This window comes from Homo sapiens, chromosome 13 (genome assembly GCF_000001405.40).
Source record: "Homo sapiens chromosome 13, GRCh38.p14 Primary Assembly".
NCBI lineage: Eukaryota > Metazoa > Chordata > Mammalia > Primates > Hominidae > Homo > Homo sapiens.
The window spans coordinates 113,853,650-113,872,852 of record NC_000013.11 but is presented as its reverse complement, the minus strand read 5'-3'; the positions used below and the strand labels follow the sequence as shown (position 1 = coordinate 113,872,852).

Sequence of the window (19,203 nt, the reverse complement as noted above, 5' to 3'; positions counted from 1 at the left end):
ATTTAAATATTTTAAAAGCATTGTTTAAAGCAAACAATAGTACTCTGTATTGCAAGGTTTATGACACATATAGAAGTAAAATGCAAGAAAACAACAACATAAAGAGAGGAGAGAAATAGAAGCAGACTGCTGCAAGTGAACAGGTGACTCTAATAAGTTAAAGCTGTATAATAAAAATCACACAGCAACACCAAAATAACACAACAAACAATTGCAGTTAATAAGCCAACAAGGGAGAAAATTCTATCATAAAAAATTTGGTTAATCCAAAAGAAGGCAAAAAATAAAATAAAATAAAGGAAAGGAAACAACAAATGGGAGTAATAGAAAACAAATAACAAGGTAGTAGGTTTAGACCAAATCATTTTAATAAGTATATTGAATGAAAATGATCTAATAACCCAATTAAAAGGTAAATATCAGATTGGATTTAAAAAAGGAAGACTCAGTTACATGCTACCTACAGGAAACCTACCTTAAACATTAAGACAAAAATAGAATAAAGGAAAAAGAATTTTAAAAATTATATATATATATATATATAATGCAAACACTAATCAAAAGAAAGCTGGCATGGTTATTTTAACAATCAGACAAATAGATTTCAGAGCAAAGAATATTATATCTCATTATGATAAAGGGATCAATTACTCAGGAGTACGTAATTTAAATATTTATGCACCAAGTAAAAAAGTTTCAAAATACATGAAGCAAAACTTGAATTGTAAGGAGAAATAGACAAATCCAAATTCTAGTTGGAGAGTTCAGCACTCCATTCTTAATAACTGATAGAATAAGAAGGCAGAAAATGAGCAAGGATATGGTAGACTTGAACAAGACTATCATCCAACTTGACCTGGTTGACATTTATAGAGCATTCCATCCAATAGGAGCTGAATAAACATTCTTTTTTAGAACACACAGGACGTTTACCAAGATGTACCATCTTCTGGCCACAAAACAAGTTTCAATAAATTAAAAAGAATTCAAGTCATATACAGTATGTTCTCTTTCTACAATAAAGCCAAATTATACATTGATAACCACAAAGATATCTAGAAACTTCCCAAATTGTTGGAAACTAAATAACACAGTTCTAAATAATCCATGGGTCAATGAAGATATCAAAAGGAAAATTATAAAGTATTCTGAACTGAATGGAAATGACTCACTTAAGTGTGGGATTTAAAATGTGTAGGATACAGCTAAAGCACGGCTTTAAGGAAAATTTCTAGCATAAACATCTACATTAGAAAAGAAGGAAGATCTCGAATAAATGACCTCAGCTTTCTACTTAAGAAACTGAATAAAGAAGAGCAAATGAAACACACTTTATTTCATTTTTATTTCATTTTTCTTCTGTGGGCAGAAGAAAGAACATTATAAAAATTGTATAATGAGAAAATAAAAAATGACAAATAATACAGAAAATAGAGAAAAATCGATAAACCCAAAAGCTAGTTATTTGAGATCAATAAACTTGTTGAATCTCCAGCCAGAATGACCATGACAAAAAATTAAATAAAAAGACAAATTGTCACTATCAAGAGAGGTGTCATTAATACAGATCTACAGAGATTCAAAGAGTATTGAGGGGCTAGCCGAGGTGGCTCATGCCTATAATCCCAGCACTTTGGGAGGCCAAGACGGGTGAATCACTTGAGGTCAGGAGTTCGAGACCAGCCTGGCTAACATGGTGAAACCTCGTCTCTACTAAAAATACAAAAATTAGCCAGCTATAGTGGCACACACCTGTAGTCCCAGCTACTCAGGAGGCTGAGGCGGGAGAATTGCTTGAAGCTGGGAGGCAGAGATTGCAGTGAGCCAAGATCACTCCACTGCACTCCAGCCTGGGTGACAGAGCGAGACTCTGTCTCAAACAACAACAACAAAGAGTGTTGAGAAACTATTATGAGCAGCTTTATGTTAGCACAGTAAACAACTTGGATACAATGGGAAAACTTCCCCAAAAAAACAAACTACCAAAGCCAATAAAAAAGAAATAGACTATCTATTAAAGTATATATAGAAACAGAGTCTTACTCTGTCGCCCAGGCTGGAGTGCAGTGGCACAATCTCAGCTCACTGCAACCTCCACCTCCAGGGTTCAAGCAATTATCCTGCCTCAGCCTCCCAAGTAGCTGGGATTACAGGTGCCCGCCACCATGCCTGGCTAATTTTTTTGTATTTTTAGTAGAGACAGGGTTTCACCATGTTGGCCAGGCTGGTTTCAAACTCCTGACCTCAAGTGATCCACCCAACTCGGCCTCCCAAAGTGCTAGGATTACAGGCGTGAGCCACCGTACCCAGCCTTAAAGAATATATATTAAAGAAATTACATTTATAGGTAAAAACCTCCCCACAAAGAAAACTATAGGTCCTGATGGCATCATTGTGATTTTTGCCAATCATCTAAGGAAGAAATAAGACCAATTCTACACAAACACTTCCATAAAATTAAAGCGGAAGAAACACTTAACAATTCTATGAGGCCAACATTTCTTAGATATCAAACCAGACAAAGAAAGAAAACAACAGATCAGTACCCTCATAAACATCAATGTAAATATTCTTAACATGTTTTTGCAAATTGAATTCATCAATAATTTAAAACTATGATATATCATGACCAAGTGGGGTTAGGATTATTTCAGGGACACAAGATTGATTTAACATTCAAAAATCAATCAAGATAATTCACATATTAATGAATAAAAAAACCCATATGATCATCTCAATAGAATAGATGCAGAAGAAAACTTTGATAATATTTAATACACATTCCTAATTTTTAAAACATAATTTGCAGGAAGCTAGAAATAGAAGAGAACTTCCTCAACCTGATAAAGAGAATCTATGAAAAGCCTACAGCTAACATTATATTTAATGGTGAAAGACTGGATTATTTTCACATAGGATCAGGAACAACACAAGGGTACACACTGTCTCCATTTCTAGTCAACATTGCATGGGAGGTTATTAGGCAGTGCAATCAGACAGAAAAGAATTAAATAGCACCCAGATTTGAAAGGAGGAAGTAAAAGTGTCTATATTTACAAACAGCATGATTATCTATGTAAGAAAAATTCTACTGAAGCTACAAAAAAATCAGAATAATTGAATTAAGCAAAGTTGTGTGATACAAGATAAATACACAAAAATCAAATGTTTAAACAATTAGAGATTGAAATGAAAAACAATGCCAAAGGCCAGATGTAGTGGCTCACACTTGTCATCCCAGCAGTTTGGGAAGCTAAGGGGGGTGGGTTGCTTGAGGCCAGGAATTCAAGACCAGCCTGAACAACACGGCAAAAGCCCATCTCTACAAAAAATACAAAAAATTAGCCAGGCATGGTGGCGCATGCCTGTAGTCCCAGCTACGTGGCAGGATCACTTGAGTCTGGGGGGCAGAGGTTGCAGTGGGCTGAGATTGCGTCACTGCACTGCAGCCTCAGTGACAGAGTGAGATCTTGTCTCAATAAATAAATAAATAAATAATGCCATTTACAATAGGACAAAGAAAGTGAAATATTTAGAAACAAATCTAATAACATATATATCAGGCCTGTACATTGAATACTATGAAAGACTGTGGAGATAATTTAAGAAGACTTAAATAAATGAAAGATATACCGCGTTCACATATCAGAAGCCTCAATACTGTCAAACTGTTCATTGCCTAAAAATTGACCTATAGATTTAATGCAATCTCAATTAAAATCTTGGCAGGCTTTTTGTAAAGAATGACCAGCTGATTCTAATATTCATATGTAGATGCAAAGAAAACAGAATAACCAAACAACTGCACACTTTGAGAAAGAAGAACGTTTGAGTATTTACACTACCTGAGTATTTACATTACCTGACTTCAATTCTTGTTATGAATCTACTATAGTCAAGACAGTGTGGTATTAACTTTAAAAAGAGACAAACAAATAAATGGGACAGAACAGAGTCTACAAATAGATTTGCACATATATTATCAATTGGTTATTGACAAAGGTGCAAAGGCAAGTCAGTGGAGAAAGAATAGTCTTTTTAACAGTGCTGGGATGATTGCATTTCCCTAGGCACATACGTACAGATACACACTTTGTTTCATACTTCAGCATTTATAAAAACTCATTCAAAATGGATCACCATCTTAAATGTAAAACTGAAATCTACAGAACTTCTGTAATAAAATCTTTGTGACCTTGAGTTAGGCAAATGTGACACCAAAAGCAGAATCCATTAAAGAAAATAAGCTGCACTTCAAAATTAAGAATTCTGATCTTTGAAAGACACTTTAATTTCTTTTTATCTTGGAGACAGAGTCTTGCTCTATTGTGCAGACCAGGCTTAAACTCCTGGGCTCAAGAAATCCTCCTGCCTCAGCCTCTCAAGTAGCTGAAGCTACAGGCACCCACTACCATGCCTGGCTAAAGACACATTTAATAGAATGAAAAGACAAGCCGCAGACTGGAAATAAATATTTGCAAACCACACATCTGATAATGGACTTGCTTCTAGAATAGTTATAGAACTCTTAAAACTCAACAAACAGCTCAACAATTGGAAAACCAAACATCCCAAGTGTATTAGTCAATTTTCACGCTGCCGATAAAGACATACCTGAGACTGGGCAGTTTACAAAGGAAAGAGGTTTAACTGGACTCACAGTTCCACGTGGCTGGGGAAGCCTCACAATCATGGCAGAAGGTAAGGAGGAGCAAGTCACGTCTTACACAGATGGCAGAAAGCAAAGACAGAGAGCTTGTGCAGGGGAATTCCTCTTTTTAAAACCATCAGATCTTGTAAGACTTATTCACTATCATGACAACAGCATGGGAAAGACTTGCCCCCATGATTCAATTACCTCTCACCAGGTCCTTCCCATAACATGTGGGAAGTCAAGATGAGATTTCGGTGGGGACACAGCCAAACCATATCACCAAGTAAAGGAAAAGAAAGAAAGTAAAACTGAAACAGACATTTCACCAAAGAAGATATCTGGATGGCAATAAGTACAATAAAATTTGTTCAACATCACTAGTTATTTGAAAAATGCAAATTTAAACTACAATGAAATACCATTATATACATATTAGAGTGAGTAAAATTTTTTTTTTCAGTGGAGTGTAGGGTTTCTTTTTTTATTTTTATTTTTTTATTGATCATTCTTGGGTGTTTCTCGCAGAGGGGGATTTGGCAGGGTCACAGGACAATAGTGGAGGGAAGGTCAGCAGATAAACAAGTGAACAAAGGTCTCTGGTTTTCCTAGGCAGAGGACCCTGCGGCCTTCCGCAGTGTTTGTGTCCCTGGATACTTGAGATTAGGGAGTGGTGATGACTCTTAACAAGCATGCTGCCTTCAAGCATCTGTTTAACAAAGCACATCTTGCACCGCCCTTAATCCATTTAACCCTGAGTGGACACAGCACATGTTTCAGAGAGCACAGGGTTGGGGGTAAGGTCACAGATCAACAGGATCCCAAGGCAGAAGAATTTTTCTTAGTACAGAACAAAATGAAAAGTCTCCCATGTCTACCTCTTTCTACACAGACACGGCAACCATCCGATTTCTCAATCTTTTCCCCACCTTTCCCCCCTTTCTATTCCCCAAAACCGCCATTGTCATCATGGCCCGTTCTCAATGAGCTGTTGGGTACACCTCCCAGACGGGGTGGTGGTCGGGCAGAGGGCCTCCTCACTTCCCAGTAGGGGCGGCCGGGCAGAGGTGCCCCTCACCTCCCGGACGGGGCGGCTGGCCGGGCGGGGGGCTGACCCCCCCACCTCCCTCCCGGACGGGGCGGCTAAAAATTTTTAAAGTGACCACAGAAAGTATGGGTGGGGATGTGGAGCAACTGGGACCCTCATGCATTGATGGTGAAAATGAAAAACAGTATAACCACTTTGAAAAACAGTTTAAAAAGTTAAACAAATACCTACTATGGGATCCAGACACTCTGCTCCTAGATATTTCCCCAAGAGAAATGGAAGCACGTGTGCACACAATGTCCACACGATGGACACACACATGAATGCCTACAGCAGCTTTATTTGTGATAGTAAAAATTTAGAAGCAAGTATAATGTCCCTCAACAGGTGAATGATAAACAAATTGTGTTATATCCATACAGTGGAATACTACTGAGCAATAAAAAGGAATACACCTGCAACAAGATAGATGATTCTGAAAATAAATATGTTAAGTGAAAAAAACAGACAAAAAAGTGTACATACAGTATAATTCTTTTTATATAAAAGTCTAGAAAATACAAACAAATCTATAGTGATAGAAAGTTGGTCAGCGGTTTTTGCATAGAAACTGGGATGTGGGGTAGGGTGGGGACATTTAGGAGGGAGGAATTACCAAAGGGCATGAGAACACTTTTTTGGGTGATGGATATGTTCCCTAACTTGATTGTGATGATGGCTTCACAGGTGTACACAGCTTTCCACCTCATGGCCACAGACCGGTTAACCATCCATATAAAACATCCATTGCCCTGGGTCCAACCTCCTGCCCCCTGTGGAGGTGAACTGTCTACTTCACCATTGATATTTCAGGTTGTATGATATAGTGCCTGACAACTCTCCATTTTTGGAACACATCCAAATTGTTTCTTATTCATTTTCCATTTCTGCCTTCGAACGAATTTCCTGCACTGGTAACTAGGTGAAGAATTTTGGAGTTATCTGGGGTAATGGAGACATCCTCCATTGCACCGCATATTTGCTTTCTGTATTCCCCAGTTATAGAAATCAAAACGAGCAGTTGTATGTGAATGCATTGTATCAAACCAAGTCTCTAGATGATAGGAGGCATTGTCATTACTAGGATAGTAACTCAGTAGAAAGAGTGAATTGAGAATATGAGGAATGAGAGTGGGGTCCAGACTAAAAGGAGGCCAGGGGTCCTGAACTGCCCCATCCAACTGAGTTCATTCTGATACCTACTGATCTGAAGCAGCAGGTCCACGCCCAGGTGCAGATTGTCCCAGATGAACAGGCAGAGGCTAGAGATGCTCATTCCTAAAGGGATCAAATAATTCTGAGAATGGCAAGAACTCCATTAACTCTCTTCTCCAAAACTACAAAAATGTGCAGAAAATACGAACAATTTTTAGGAGCTTACACTCTTTGAAGTTTATCCATGGGCTGCTGGAACCCTTAGGAAATAATAGCTAGAAGTGCCTCAGACACTGCCTGGCACACAGCAGGTGCTCAATGAATTACACTGCCTGGCACATAGTAGGTGCTCAATGAATTGTCTGATGAAGTGATTAAGGAGCCTTGTAAATACTGATTAAAACATGTATCACCCCATCCAATTTTTCAAACCAGTGCTTCTCAAGAACAAGCAGGAAAATTAATGTAATATTGTTTTGAAGTAGCCGTGGTGGTTTCGGGGCAGAAGCCCAGGGGTACTCCTTACTCCGCCTGCTCCAGTAACTAGCTGACATGGAAGTGCCTCGTCATTCTGGTTCAGACACAGGTGCAGATAGATGACTTCTCTATCCCACTTTAATTCTCCTTGAAGATCATTCCCAGGGACATTCATTTGCTTAAATTAACATGCTCGGCCAGGCGCGGTGGCTCACACCTGTAATCCCAGCACTTTGGGAGGCCCAGGCGGGCGGATCACGAGGTCAGGAGATTGAGATCATCCTGGCTAACACGGTGAAACCCCGTCTCTACTAAAAATAAAAAAAATCAGCCGGGCGTGGTGGCGGGCGCCTGTGGTCCCAGCTACTCGGGAGGCTGAGGCAGGAGAATGGCGTGAACCCGGGAGGCGGAGCTTGCAGTGAGCAGAGATCACGCCACTGCACCCCAGCCTGGGCAACATAGCGAGACTCCGTCTGAAAACAAACAAACAACAACAACAAAAATTCATGCTCATAATCCCACTTTCAAACCAGTGACCTCAAAGATTTCTAGCAGCAATCCTATTCCATTCTTCCAATTACAGAAAGCAAAGAGAAACTGGATCTGGGGATCTAAGCGTTGAGCCTGCTGAGCAGAACGGCCATTCATTTGGGGTGAGGTGCTGACTCACTGCCCCTCTACATTGCATTTTGGGGTGTGGGGATTTCCAGAGCAGGATTCTCCAGAGAGGAGTATCCAAGCTCCCTCCTCCCGCAGCAGGGGGATGCTGGGCTAACTGCCTGGTTCGGTCCCCCGTGAGTGGTCTGCTGTGTTTTGGTTCTGTTTGTTTGTGTGTGTTTTGCCTATGACTTTGCGAAATATTCCAAGACAAGAGCCAGAAAGTCTTGGTCTCTGAAGACAAGCACAATGTTGCTTTCAGCTTAAATATCTACTGGGAAACCTCAAGATTTTTAATGTCATCATTATGAAAAACAGAGATTATAAAAGGAAACCGTCGCATTTCACTCGCTGGCCCCCAGTGGGATTGGATCTGACCTCAGTGTATCTTTTCTTTGGTAGGTTTTAAGTCTTGACAAAATGTGCCTAAGAATGAAGACTCCAAAAAGGATGCAGTAGATTCGGGGGGAGTGGGGGTTGGAAAGAGGCTTAAATCTTCACATGACACCTGGAATATGGTCAAAATGTACCTGCTCAAGTTGAACCAGGTATTGCGTCCTCCTTTTACCCCATCGCTAGTGAAGACAACCACCGCCTGGGGAGACGCTCCTTTTCCGAAACACTCGAGTCCCGCCGCGTCCCGGACGCTCCGCTTTCCCCGCGCCCGGATCCTCCCGGGAACCCGCGCCCCGCCCGCGCGCTGGTCCCGCCCCCGCCGCCTCCCCGCGCGCAGCCGCCCGAACACGCCCAGACCGAGCGCTTGAGGTGCCGCAGCCGCCGCCGCCGCCGCCGCCGCGATGTGACCTTCAGGGCCGCCAGGACGGGATGACCGGAGCCTCCGCCCCGCGGCGCCCGCGGCTCGCCTCGGCCTCCCGGGCGCTCTGACCGCGCGTCCCCGGCCCGCCATGGCCCCTTCGCTCTCGCCCGGGCCCGCCGCCCTGCGCCGCGCGCCGCAGCTGCTGCTGCTGCTGCTGGCCGCGGAGTGCGCGCTTGGTGAGTCCCGCGGGCCCGAGACCCCGTCCCCGGGCGGCGGGAGGAGGCTCCGGGCGCGGCTTGACGCGTCCCCCTCTCTCCCTCCGGGCAGCCGCGCTGTTGCCGGCGCGCGAGGCCACGCAGTTCCTGCGGCCCAGGCAGCGCCGCGCCTTTCAGGTCTTCGAGGAGGCCAAGCAGGGCCACCTGGAGAGGGAGTGCGTGGAGGAGCTGTGCAGCCGCGAGGAGGCGCGGGAGGTGTTCGAGAACGACCCCGAGACGGTGAGCAGCCGGCGGGCGGGATGCGGGGGAACCCCTGGCGCCCGCGCGCCTCCAACCGCTCCCGAGAGGCAGCGCTGCTGCCGCCCCCCAGCTCCGCGCGGCGAGGCCTGGCCTCAGGGTCCCAGGAGCCCCGGCCCGCCCCGCGTCCCCCACGCCCATCCCCCGGCGACCCCGGGATCCCCGCGCAGGCCGGTGAGACGCTGCGGGGCTGTCCGGGAAACGCTCGCTGTCAGACGCCTCCCCGCGGGGAAGCCGGGAGTCCGTTTCCAAAGTGCGAGAGAAACACAATGGTTAAAACCCAAACCGCTTCCCCGCGGCCCTCCCTCTGCTGGGCTGGAGGTGAGGAACCCCCGGGCCGCGCCTCGTCCTCCTGAGAGGGGTGGAGAGCAGTCCCCTCCCGAAAGAGGAATTGAAAGGGCCGAGGGCGGGAACTGCTTGCGGCAGCAGGTCCAAAAATAAGATTCCAGGAATCGAGCGGGGCCGCATGCGGGAGGGGAGGGCGGCTCCGCGGCCCCGTTCTGCCAGGTGCTCTCCTGGAGGCAGCGGGTGCTTTCAGGAGCCCGACGGTGCTGGCCCCGGCACCTCGGTTAGGAATGTCCTTGGAGAAGGCGGGGCGCCCGGGGCCGCCTCCCGCAGGAGCCGCCGTGTGAGGACGGCCTGGCCACTCTATCCTGCGGGCTCGGGAGCGGGTGACTTTGGAAAGTCCGAGAAGGTGTGGATTCCCGTTGACGTCCCTCCCGCCCTGAAGTCAGGGTGATTTCATAGCGAAGTTTTCCGTTCTGCTGGAATGTTCCTTTTAAAGAATTCTCCTGGGGTGGAATAAATGTCACCCGGGATGAAAGAGTGGTTCTGGATGAACCATGGAGGCCTGTTTCCGCTTACATTTCTAGTGGTTGACTTGACCCCTCTTAGATCTGCCTTTCTGAAAGCTCTGAGGCTGTCAGATGGCCACTGTGCACTTGTGGACATAGCTCATCCCTGCAGAGATGACGCACCTGGGGCTGTTGCCCGGGGGCTGCCCACAGCCCCACAGGCCCGTGCCCTCCTTCAGCTCAGCCTAGCTTGGTCGCTCTCCCCGGCCTCTCTGTTTTCCTGTTTCTTTAATGATGAATCCTGGCCTGTGCTGCTGGCTGAGGCAGGTGGGCCTGTGTGCCCTGGTCGCTCGGAGTCGCCGCCCAGCTGTGGGGTTGGTCGTGTGGCTGGTGCAGTGTCCTCCAACAGCGTCCTCACCCGGAACATTCTGCGTGCACAGGGACTGTGGCATGGGGCGTGCTGGTGATGGGAGTTGAGGGCAGCAGGGTCACCCCCACCCCACAGTACCCGCTCCGCGCAGCCCTGCAAGGCCTGGCCGCAGCCCCTCCTCGCTGTCCTCCAGGACCTGCAGGGCCCATGTCAATCAGACTGGACGCTGCCTGGATGTACTGTGCTGTTCTTCCCAAGTCAGTCCCCTACCTGGTTTTCCAATTTTAATTTAATAACTTTATTTACAAAGGTGTGAAATGAAGATAAGAAAATGAAAACAGCACTCAGGACCCCATCACTTTAATACAACTGCGGTTGCGTCACATGGTTTCTGTGCTGGCATGTTCATCTCCTCACCCTCCTGCATGTGGCTGAGTGGCTTTGGTGCCCGGGAGGCATCCCTCCCATCCTCTCACAGCCTGGCCCCAGCAGCCTCTGTCGGCTTCTTTTCAGCGTCATCTCAGTTCCCAGCGTTCTGCCCTCCTTCCCAGCCCCCATGCCAAATGATAACAACCCGCTTTCCCTCTGGTTTTTGGATCTGGCCATTAGCTTGCTGTCTGTTTCTGTTTCTGTTTCCGGTTCCTGCCGGCAGGTGGATGCTGGGGACAGCCTGGTTGGGGCAGGGGCAGGGGCAGGGTCCAGAGGCTGGCTTGAGTCCCAGCCGGCTCCAGCACACCAGGCCCACCCCTCCCAGGACCCTAGTCTCCACTGCATCCTCTGCCACACTCTTGGGAGACCCCAGGCCCGAGGGGACTGTCCAAGCACAACTTCCTGCTAATGCATGAAAATCATCCATGAACTTCTCCCTGTCAAAGGCCAGGGGCTCCTTGTCTTTGAAATGTTGCTCACTTTACATTTTGTGCAGTGCGGCTGATTGAGGAAAAGGGCTGTGGCCTGAGCTCAAGAGGTGACCAGGACCTGGCCATGGTGACTGTCAGAGCATCCTTGGGTCCCTGGCCTCCCCAGGCCCAGGATCCTGATGTGTGGTCCTCCACGGGTGGTTGTAGGGAAGGTGGTCCCAGCCCCCTGCCATTTTAGGATGTGGGAAGTGCCTGGCCGCCGTTAGTTAACACGCACCTACCCAGCCCTGGCTGTTTCCCCTGGGCAGGCTCCTACGAGGGAGGGAAGGGACAGCTGGAGCCAGCTCTCCAGTGTGCTCACCTTCATGTCCACCTGCTAAACTGCTAACCTGCCCGAAGTGTGTCCCACTGCCCCTTGCTGGGGCATCTTCCTGGTTGCGCCTTCTTCCCGGAAGCACCCGCTGTGCAGCCCTTCCAGCAGGCAGATACTAAGCCCGGCACCCCTCCCAGGCTCCAGGCTCACTTGTGTGCTAACCTCTGTGCCCACCTGGCCACCTGCTCACCTGCCTGAAGCGTGTCCCACTGCCCCAAGCTGGGGCTGCTTCCTGGTTGTGAGGGAAGTGCCTGCTCTGCAGACCCCCACCTTCCAGCAGGCGGATACTAAGCCCAGCACCCCTCCCAGGCTCTGGCCCTCCCCACACACCTGTGGTTTCAAGCCCTGTTCTGCTGGAAGGGACACTCCTCCCACCTCCCCAGCCCTCTCTGCTGGAGCCGTGCCCCTCCCCCGACATTCCTCCAGGCTGGGCCACCCCCACATGCCTCCTTGCTCTCCACCGCCCAGACCTTCTCCTTATCTTGTTTTCCTTTTTATATTGTTGTTCTCCCTCCCTGGCCTTGCCTCTCCCTGCTGGGTTCCTTGCCCGAGTTTCTAATTCAGAGAAGACTGGGTAACTCCCCACAGTGTCTCTGCTAAAGCTTCCCAGGCCCAGTGACTTTTTACTAAATCCTCGAAGGCCATCAGGTTCCAGGGCCTGCTGAGGTCTCCATAATCACCCCTTGATTCCAGAAATGATCCGAGACTAGAGACTTATCCCAGCCCAGCCCTACTGCCCAGGTCCTCCGGTGCCTGCCTGGGAGCCTGTTTGTGCACTTTGATCCCCGGCCTGCCTGCCGGAAAATCATCCAGGCTGTGGTTCCTGATCCCATCACCTGGCTTTATCTGAGATACAAAGCACAATATTCACCGAGGGCTGGTGGCCTTCCCTGAGGGTTGGCCTGGATTAGCAACCTGCACCTGTACCCGCACCTGCACGACATGTGGCCAGGCCTGTGCTCCGAGGCCAGGTTTCCCTTCCCCCATCTCTTTCTTTGTCTCCCTCTGTGTTTCTCTCTCTGTCCCAGTCTCTCTCTTCTCCCCACTGCTGGTGGTGAGGAATTCTCCGCATGGGATGTTGGTGCATCCGTTTTCAAACTTGCTGGCTCATCCTGAACTGCATGTGCCCTCCAAGCACCTTTTCCCTGACCTTGTGGATTCTTTGGGAACAGCTGGGGAAGGGGTACCCTTTATGGAAATGAAAACCCCTCTGAGTCCCCACTTGGGAACAGCCACTTGGCTGGGACACAGGCCCAGATGTTGGGATGGCCTAAAGGGAGGTCCCTGTTGGAGGGGAGGGCTGTACAATGTGGGGGCGCCTGGTGGGGAAGGTGATGGCCAGGCTGAGACCTCCCCTGCCCTGCCTTGACAGAGGCTGCAGCACACTCCCACACACAGACACATGCACACACATTCACACATGGACACCAGCACAGATAGGTGCTGACTCATGGATACAGGTGTGCAGGGACACACACACCCCTACCTAGACACATGCACACATGTACATATGTTCCCATAGACACAGATATACATGCACACACACAGGCACACACATACTAACAGACATGTACATACGTATGCACACATTCACATAGATATACGTACACACACACACTGACAGACATGCACACACATAAACAGGCACACACACATACTAACAGACATGTACACATACATGCACACATTCACATAGACATACGTACACACAGTCACACACTGTCCAGACATGCACATACAAGGCACACACATACTAACAGACATGTATACATACATGCACACATTCACATAGACATACAGTCACACAGACATGTACACATGCATAATGACATGCACACACATACTAACAGACATGTACACATACATGCACACATTCACATAGATGTACCTACACAGTCACACAGACATGCATACATAGGCACACACAGACATGTACACATACGTACACAGTCACACACACAGACATGCACACACAAAGGCACATACTAGCAGACATGTACACATACATGCACACATTCACATAGACATATGTAAGCACACAGCCACACACTGACAGACATGCACACACATACATGCACACATTCACATAGACATACGTACACACAGTCACACACTGTCCAGACATGCACATACAAGGCACACATACTAACAGACATGTATACATACATGCACACATTCATATAGACATACAGTCACACAGACATGTACACACATGCATGACACGCACACACATACTAACAGACATGTACACATACATGCACACATTCACATAGACTTACATAGTCATGTACACACATGCATAATGACACACATACTAACAGACATGTACACATACATGCACACATTCACATAGACATACATACAGTCACAGACATGTACACACATGCATAATGACACGCACACACATACTAACAGACATGTACACATACATGCACACATTCACATAGATGTACATACACAGTCACACACACAGACATGCATACATAGGCACACACAGACATGTACACATACAGTCACAAACACACAGACATGCATACATAGGCACACACAGACATGTACACATACGTACACAGTCACACACAGACATGCACACACAAAGGCACATACTAGCAGACGTACACAGACATGCACACATTCACATAGATGTACATAGTCACACACAGACATGCATACATAGGCACACAGACATGCACACACAAAGGCACATACTAGCAGACATGTACACATGCACACATTCACATAGACATATGTAAACACACAGTCACACACACTGACAGACATGCACACACATGCACACATTCACATAGACATACGTACACAGTCATACACTGACAGACATGTACACACATGCATAATATGCACACATGTACACACAGTCACATAAATAGACACATATACACACACAGGCACACATGGATGCCCAGCCACATGCATGCAGACACACACAGACACATGTGCACCCTCTCACACACTTTTCTCTTTCTACAACTTTGGGGTCAGAAGACCACTGACAGCTGCAGCAGGATCACTAAAAAGTGACACAAGGTCACGGGGCTCTGTGGCCCCAGCTTCCTCAGACCCCCAGGGTCTCTCCACTCCCAGAGCCCCCTGCCTGAGGGGCCGGAGCCCTGTGGCCAAGGCCTTTCCTCCTGGGCCCATCCTGAGGCCTGCAGGTGGACCCCGGCCCGGCCTCCTCTGAGGGCCGTCTTCCGTGCTGGCTCCGCAGCCCTCTCCTGTGCCCGCACCTGTGCAGATGCTTGTTTTCACCCGGGCGTCTGCAGGCACTTGGTGCCAGGCTCCTCCGGGGCTTTCTCAGAGGCAGCCGAGTGCCAGGCCCTGCACACGACACCCTCACCCGAGCCGGAGAGCTTCACATCTGTGGAAAACTCTAATTAAAGACGTTTTGAGAAACGCTGAACGTCTCCCTTTGTTATTTAGGAACAAAACACTCTTTTAGGAAGCAAGTGCTTATGGCTTCTTTCTTGAGATTCTGAGTAAAGGGGCGTTAAGCTTGCTAGCTGGGGCATGCTGAGCACTTCCCAGGTTATGGCTTTACCCCAGAGCGATTGACAGGCATCCAGGTTTCCTCATGCTTCATTTTCCCCTGTTTTCTAAGGTTAAAACTGAGAGCTGTTTCTCCAATGCAAAGCTGCTTGTTTAAGGGTTTCGTATTTGATGTTGGAAATGCTCTGGACTCTTCCATGGTTTTTATATTCCAGTGATTTCACTGCAAACCTGGTGTGTACGCCTTGTAAATTTTGACCCTGGCCAAGTGAAAGGTTCATTTTAAAAGTTTTAAAATAAATTTTAAAGGGGAGCTGGAAGTGGAATAAGTTAAGAACAGTATCAGTTTTGCCTTTCACTCTGACAGAGGCACTCTCTGCTCTGACTGACGGGTGTTGATTAAAAGTATAATATTCAAAAGAAATAGTAAAGTGCATTGGGCCTTGTTAATGTTCTACTAATTTTCTGGGGCTCCGTTTTCAAATTATAGGTGAAATTTTTTTCCTTCCAGTGTTAGTGCCTATGATAAGAAAATACATTTTCTCCACATCTGTCCACAAACCTGCTAGACCCTGTTTTGTGACTACCTCCCCTTGGAACTTGGGGCTCCATGGAAAACACACAGCTTGACCCAGCCAGCCCTCAGAGAGCCTGGGCCGGTCACTGCAGTGGCTGGATTCTCAGCATAAAAAGGCCAAACGTTCGGCCAGGCTGGGACTGGCTCCCATCCAGGACCAACTGTCCACAGTACAGTAAGGCCACTCTCTGAGTCAACATTGTTTCTTTTCTGAATTGCTAAGTTGACCGTCCCTGCAGAAGCAGAGAGGGCTGCGGTGTGGCATTCCTGCCCACTCCAAATGAGGGCAGCCCGGACGCGGGAGCTCTCAGGGAGGCGCAGTGGGCTTTGGGTGTGTCTGGACTGTCTCCACCACACCTGGAAGATACTGTTCACTTCCTTTTTACACTTGTGGGAAATACATGACAGTGTTTACGGGCAGGCTGGCTTTCCGTTTATTTCAACCCTGACAATTGAATAGCAGCAGCAGATGATGAAACTGTTCACTTCCCGATCACTCCCGTTCTCAGATCCATCACTTAGCTCGTCCGTCGCTCAGCTCGTCTGTTAGTCTGAAAGATGAATCGTGCACGGGTCCTCCTGAGAGTGCTGTTCTCGGGGTCTCCATGTGTGAAGTTGTTACATCCTCATGACAACTGTGTAACAGCTGTCACTGAGCCATTTTACAGATGTGGAAACTGAGGCCCTGAGAGGCTGTGGAGGGCTACAGTGTGTCCTGGGCATTTGAGCCCCACACTCTGTCATTAACTCCTGTGCTCGCTGGGACTGGGGGAGAGCAGGACGCGGCAGCACCCCCGGCCCCACTGTGTGCTCCTCTGTGTGCAGGCGACTGTGAGCATACTGGCACCCATGTGAGGGCTGAGTGGTGCTGGTGTGGGCGCATAAAGCACAGGGCGGCTGCGGGGAGCTGGGTGTGTGTCAGTGGCTCGGAGCATTAGTCTCGTGAACATGGTCTGCCAGGTGCGTCATGCTGGGCTACAGAGCCCATGGCTCCACCATAAATGGTGGTTTTGTGTTTGAACTTGAGTGTTGCTGCTCAGTGAGGCCAGAGGAAGGCACCAACCTGCAGGCCTGGCCGGTCCTCACAACACGGAAGGCAACCAGTCCACTAGAGAGACATGTGTCCCGGCCACTGGAGGAGTCCAAGTGACCTTTAAGTCTCACCAGTCCTCAGAGCAACCCAGGTGAATTTGGGGCCTGAGCTTGGTCGTCTGGCCGAAGACCAGCTCAACTTGGATAAAGCTGGAGGAGAAGCCTGTCCCTCAGGCAGCTGCCAGGGCATCTGTGATTTCTGCTTGCGTGCACTCTTGGCGACTATTGGTGGTGGTCGCAGTCAGGGCATCTGGTTGCCTTTACTGTCCTTACACCAGCTGGGCAGAGCTCAGGCTGGGAGCCCAGTGGGAGAGGCCGGGGCGTGACTCCCGGCGCAGAAGCGGCAGTGGCACACCGGCGTCCCAAGCACAGCTGTCCCTGCCAGGCCCCTGCGCGTTGGATCTTTGGGTTGAGTCATGCTCGATGGTGCAGCCATCCTTTCAAGGGAACTGAGCTGTCCAGCGTCCCATGGAGCAGCTCCCCGTGGATCCGGAGAGGCCGTAAATAAACCTCCCCATTTGTAAGCCGGGAACACACATGAACTTTGCAATCGTGTTTGTCCTGGGATCATAGAACGTGGTGGCTGGCAAGACCCAGGCATCCTCATCCTGTGCTGCTGTGAACAGAGGCCGGTAGCTTATTGAGGGACCAGTCCCAGTTCGCTTTCTGTGGGGAAGACTCTGATGGAAGCCTAGGCCCCAAACTCCAAGGTTAGCACATCTTCTTGGGGGGATTGACACCTCCAAAGGTGAACTTGGGTCCAAGGCACGTGTGTGCGACCTGAAGCATGGGTGCCGTGTGCAGGAGACGCCCTCACCGGAGATGGGGACCGAGTCCACACGGCTCTAACTGCAGAATCACTGGCCCTGTGCCCACGACTATTTTATTTTGCTGTTTTATATGATCACAAAGTACACTGTCTTGTTTTTCCCAAAGCATTTGCAGTGAGACATCCCACTTCCTCTCCACGGCAGCTGTTGCGGGCACGAGGCTGCTCCCAGGACAGCGATGCCACCGGGGCTGGGGTGGGCACGGAGGAACCCTCTTCCTTCCTCCTCCCCGCCCTCTGCTCCCCCACAGACTGGCCTGTCTTTAGTCAGCACTTTCCCAGGCTCCCTTCTGCCCACCACGTGCAAACAGTGGCGTGTCCTGGGCCTCTCTCCTTGTAGTGTTTCTTGTGGCCAGCATCCCTCCCATCCAACAGCTGTGTGGCTTCCTGACTGGCTTCTCTCAGGGCCCGCAAGGATGCTGCCAAATGGCCAGAGACAGTCACTGCTCTGCACTTCAAAGCAGGCAGCCCTCGGTGGGGCTTGCCCTGAAAGACAGCGGGCCTTCCTCGATGAGAGCCTGTGCTGGCTCAGGGCCTGTGGGGGCTGCAGCTCTGTTCCTTCCCTGCGTCCACGCTCACATGCTGAATGTTGTGCACCACAGGACACCCTGCTGGGGGCTGTCGGGAGCATGCTCTGTGTTTGGGGCAGAGACGGGCAGAGTGAGTCTCAGCATTACTGCCGTGCAGGGTTGAGTCTCAGCATGACTTCCATGCAGGGGGAGTCTCGGCGTCACTGCCATGCGGGGCGAGTCTCGGCGTTACCGCCGTGCAGCTGCTGGAAGCCACTCGAGCTCCTCTGTCTCGTTTGCCATGAAGCCCATGAGAGACACTGATGTGTGTCTCGGGGCTTCTGTGAGAAGAGCTTGGTTACCCACCGGGTCAGGCACCACGTCGGTGCTGTGAGGCATGGAGGGTGCTCACAGCTGTGCAGTCAGCTACAGAGGCCTTTCCCAGCATCCACATCTGACCGGGCAGTCACACCAGGATGAGCTCCCAGGAAGAGGGCTCCCAGCAAGGGAGGGCGCACCTGGGTGTGAGCTTGGAGGAGGGCAGAGGCACCTGTCACCGCTGACCCTGGGTGCAGATGGGCATGCCGGGTATACTGACTGTGCTTTCCTGGGGCCTGTCTCCCTCCAGGTCAGCCTGGGGTCCTCTGGGCTGGGGGCCATGCACTGCCTCCTGTGGGCAGTGGGATCAGCACTTCCACTTTGCTCAGGGCTAGAGCAGGCTGCTGCGGGTGTGAAGACTTAGGAAACGAATTCGGAAGGAAGGAAAGGATTTTGCACTTCCCAAGCTAGAAGAACATGAATAGAGCCGGGCTGCCAGGCCAAGGGTCTGTAAGACGGCGGCTCTTCAGAGAGTCTGCAAATGCTGAGAAAGGAAGGCTCCCCAAGGGCAGTTCCTGTGGGCGTTACTCTGAGTTTTCTCATAGAAGTCAAGTTCTTGGAAGACAGCACTATGGTCAAAGGGTTAGTGAATTCTTGTGACCATTTCCCATGGAAAATATC

The 19,203-nt window shown here is 49.0% G+C and overlaps 1 protein-coding gene and 1 long non-coding RNA gene across 2 annotated transcripts in view, besides 7 other annotated features; one reads left to right on the top strand and one right to left on the bottom strand.

Moving 5' to 3' along the window:
* GAS6-DT (GAS6 divergent transcript) lies at nucleotides 6,021-8,676 on the bottom strand. Its single transcript, NR_044993.1, has 2 exons — nucleotides 8,558-8,676; nucleotides 6,021-7,843 (listed from the first exon to the last, which is right to left on the bottom strand). It is a non-coding gene; the product is annotated as a GAS6 divergent transcript (long non-coding RNA).
* Nucleotides 8,772-9,363: an enhancer, noted in NCBI's record as "H3K27ac-H3K4me1 hESC enhancer chr13:114566463-114567054 (GRCh37/hg19 assembly coordinates)". NCBI's record gives its function as "activates a minimal SCP1, AML or CMV promoter by ChIP-STARR-seq in naive H9 embryonic stem cells {active_cell/tissue: H9 hESC(naive)}" and the evidence as "EXISTENCE:reporter gene assay evidence [ECO:0000049][PMID:30033119]".
* The window catches only part of GAS6 (growth arrest specific 6), a 43,528-nt gene continuing 33,101 nt past the window's right edge, over nucleotides 8,777-19,203 (top strand). Inside the window, exons 1-2 of the mRNA NM_000820.4 lie at nucleotides 8,777-9,020; nucleotides 9,112-9,278. Of these exons, the coding sequence (NP_000811.1) occupies nucleotides 8,933-9,020; nucleotides 9,112-9,278 (255 nt within the window). The 5' untranslated portion in view covers nucleotides 8,777-8,932. The remainder of the gene's footprint in view (nucleotides 9,021-9,111; nucleotides 9,279-19,203) is intronic.
* Nucleotides 9,084-9,143: a silencer, noted in NCBI's record as "silent region_5553". NCBI's record gives its function as "represses an Ori minimal core promoter by ATAC-STARR-seq in GM12878 lymphoblastoid cells {active_cell/tissue: GM12878}" and the evidence as "EXISTENCE:reporter gene assay evidence [ECO:0000049][PMID:35858748]".
* Nucleotides 9,164-9,223: a silencer, noted in NCBI's record as "silent region_5552". NCBI's record gives its function as "represses an Ori minimal core promoter by ATAC-STARR-seq in GM12878 lymphoblastoid cells {active_cell/tissue: GM12878}" and the evidence as "EXISTENCE:reporter gene assay evidence [ECO:0000049][PMID:35858748]".
* Nucleotides 9,704-9,753: a silencer, noted in NCBI's record as "silent region_5551". NCBI's record gives its function as "represses an Ori minimal core promoter by ATAC-STARR-seq in GM12878 lymphoblastoid cells {active_cell/tissue: GM12878}" and the evidence as "EXISTENCE:reporter gene assay evidence [ECO:0000049][PMID:35858748]".
* Nucleotides 11,732-12,323: an enhancer, noted in NCBI's record as "H3K27ac-H3K4me1 hESC enhancer chr13:114563503-114564094 (GRCh37/hg19 assembly coordinates)". NCBI's record gives its function as "activates a minimal SCP1, AML or CMV promoter by ChIP-STARR-seq in naive H9 embryonic stem cells {active_cell/tissue: H9 hESC(naive)}" and the evidence as "EXISTENCE:reporter gene assay evidence [ECO:0000049][PMID:30033119]".
* Nucleotides 17,604-18,317: an enhancer, noted in NCBI's record as "H3K4me1 hESC enhancer chr13:114557509-114558222 (GRCh37/hg19 assembly coordinates)". NCBI's record gives its function as "activates a minimal SCP1, AML or CMV promoter by ChIP-STARR-seq in primed H9 embryonic stem cells {active_cell/tissue: H9 hESC(primed)}" and the evidence as "EXISTENCE:reporter gene assay evidence [ECO:0000049][PMID:30033119]".
* Nucleotides 18,318-19,032: an enhancer, noted in NCBI's record as "H3K4me1 hESC enhancer chr13:114556794-114557508 (GRCh37/hg19 assembly coordinates)". NCBI's record gives its function as "activates a minimal SCP1, AML or CMV promoter by ChIP-STARR-seq in primed H9 embryonic stem cells {active_cell/tissue: H9 hESC(primed)}" and the evidence as "EXISTENCE:reporter gene assay evidence [ECO:0000049][PMID:30033119]".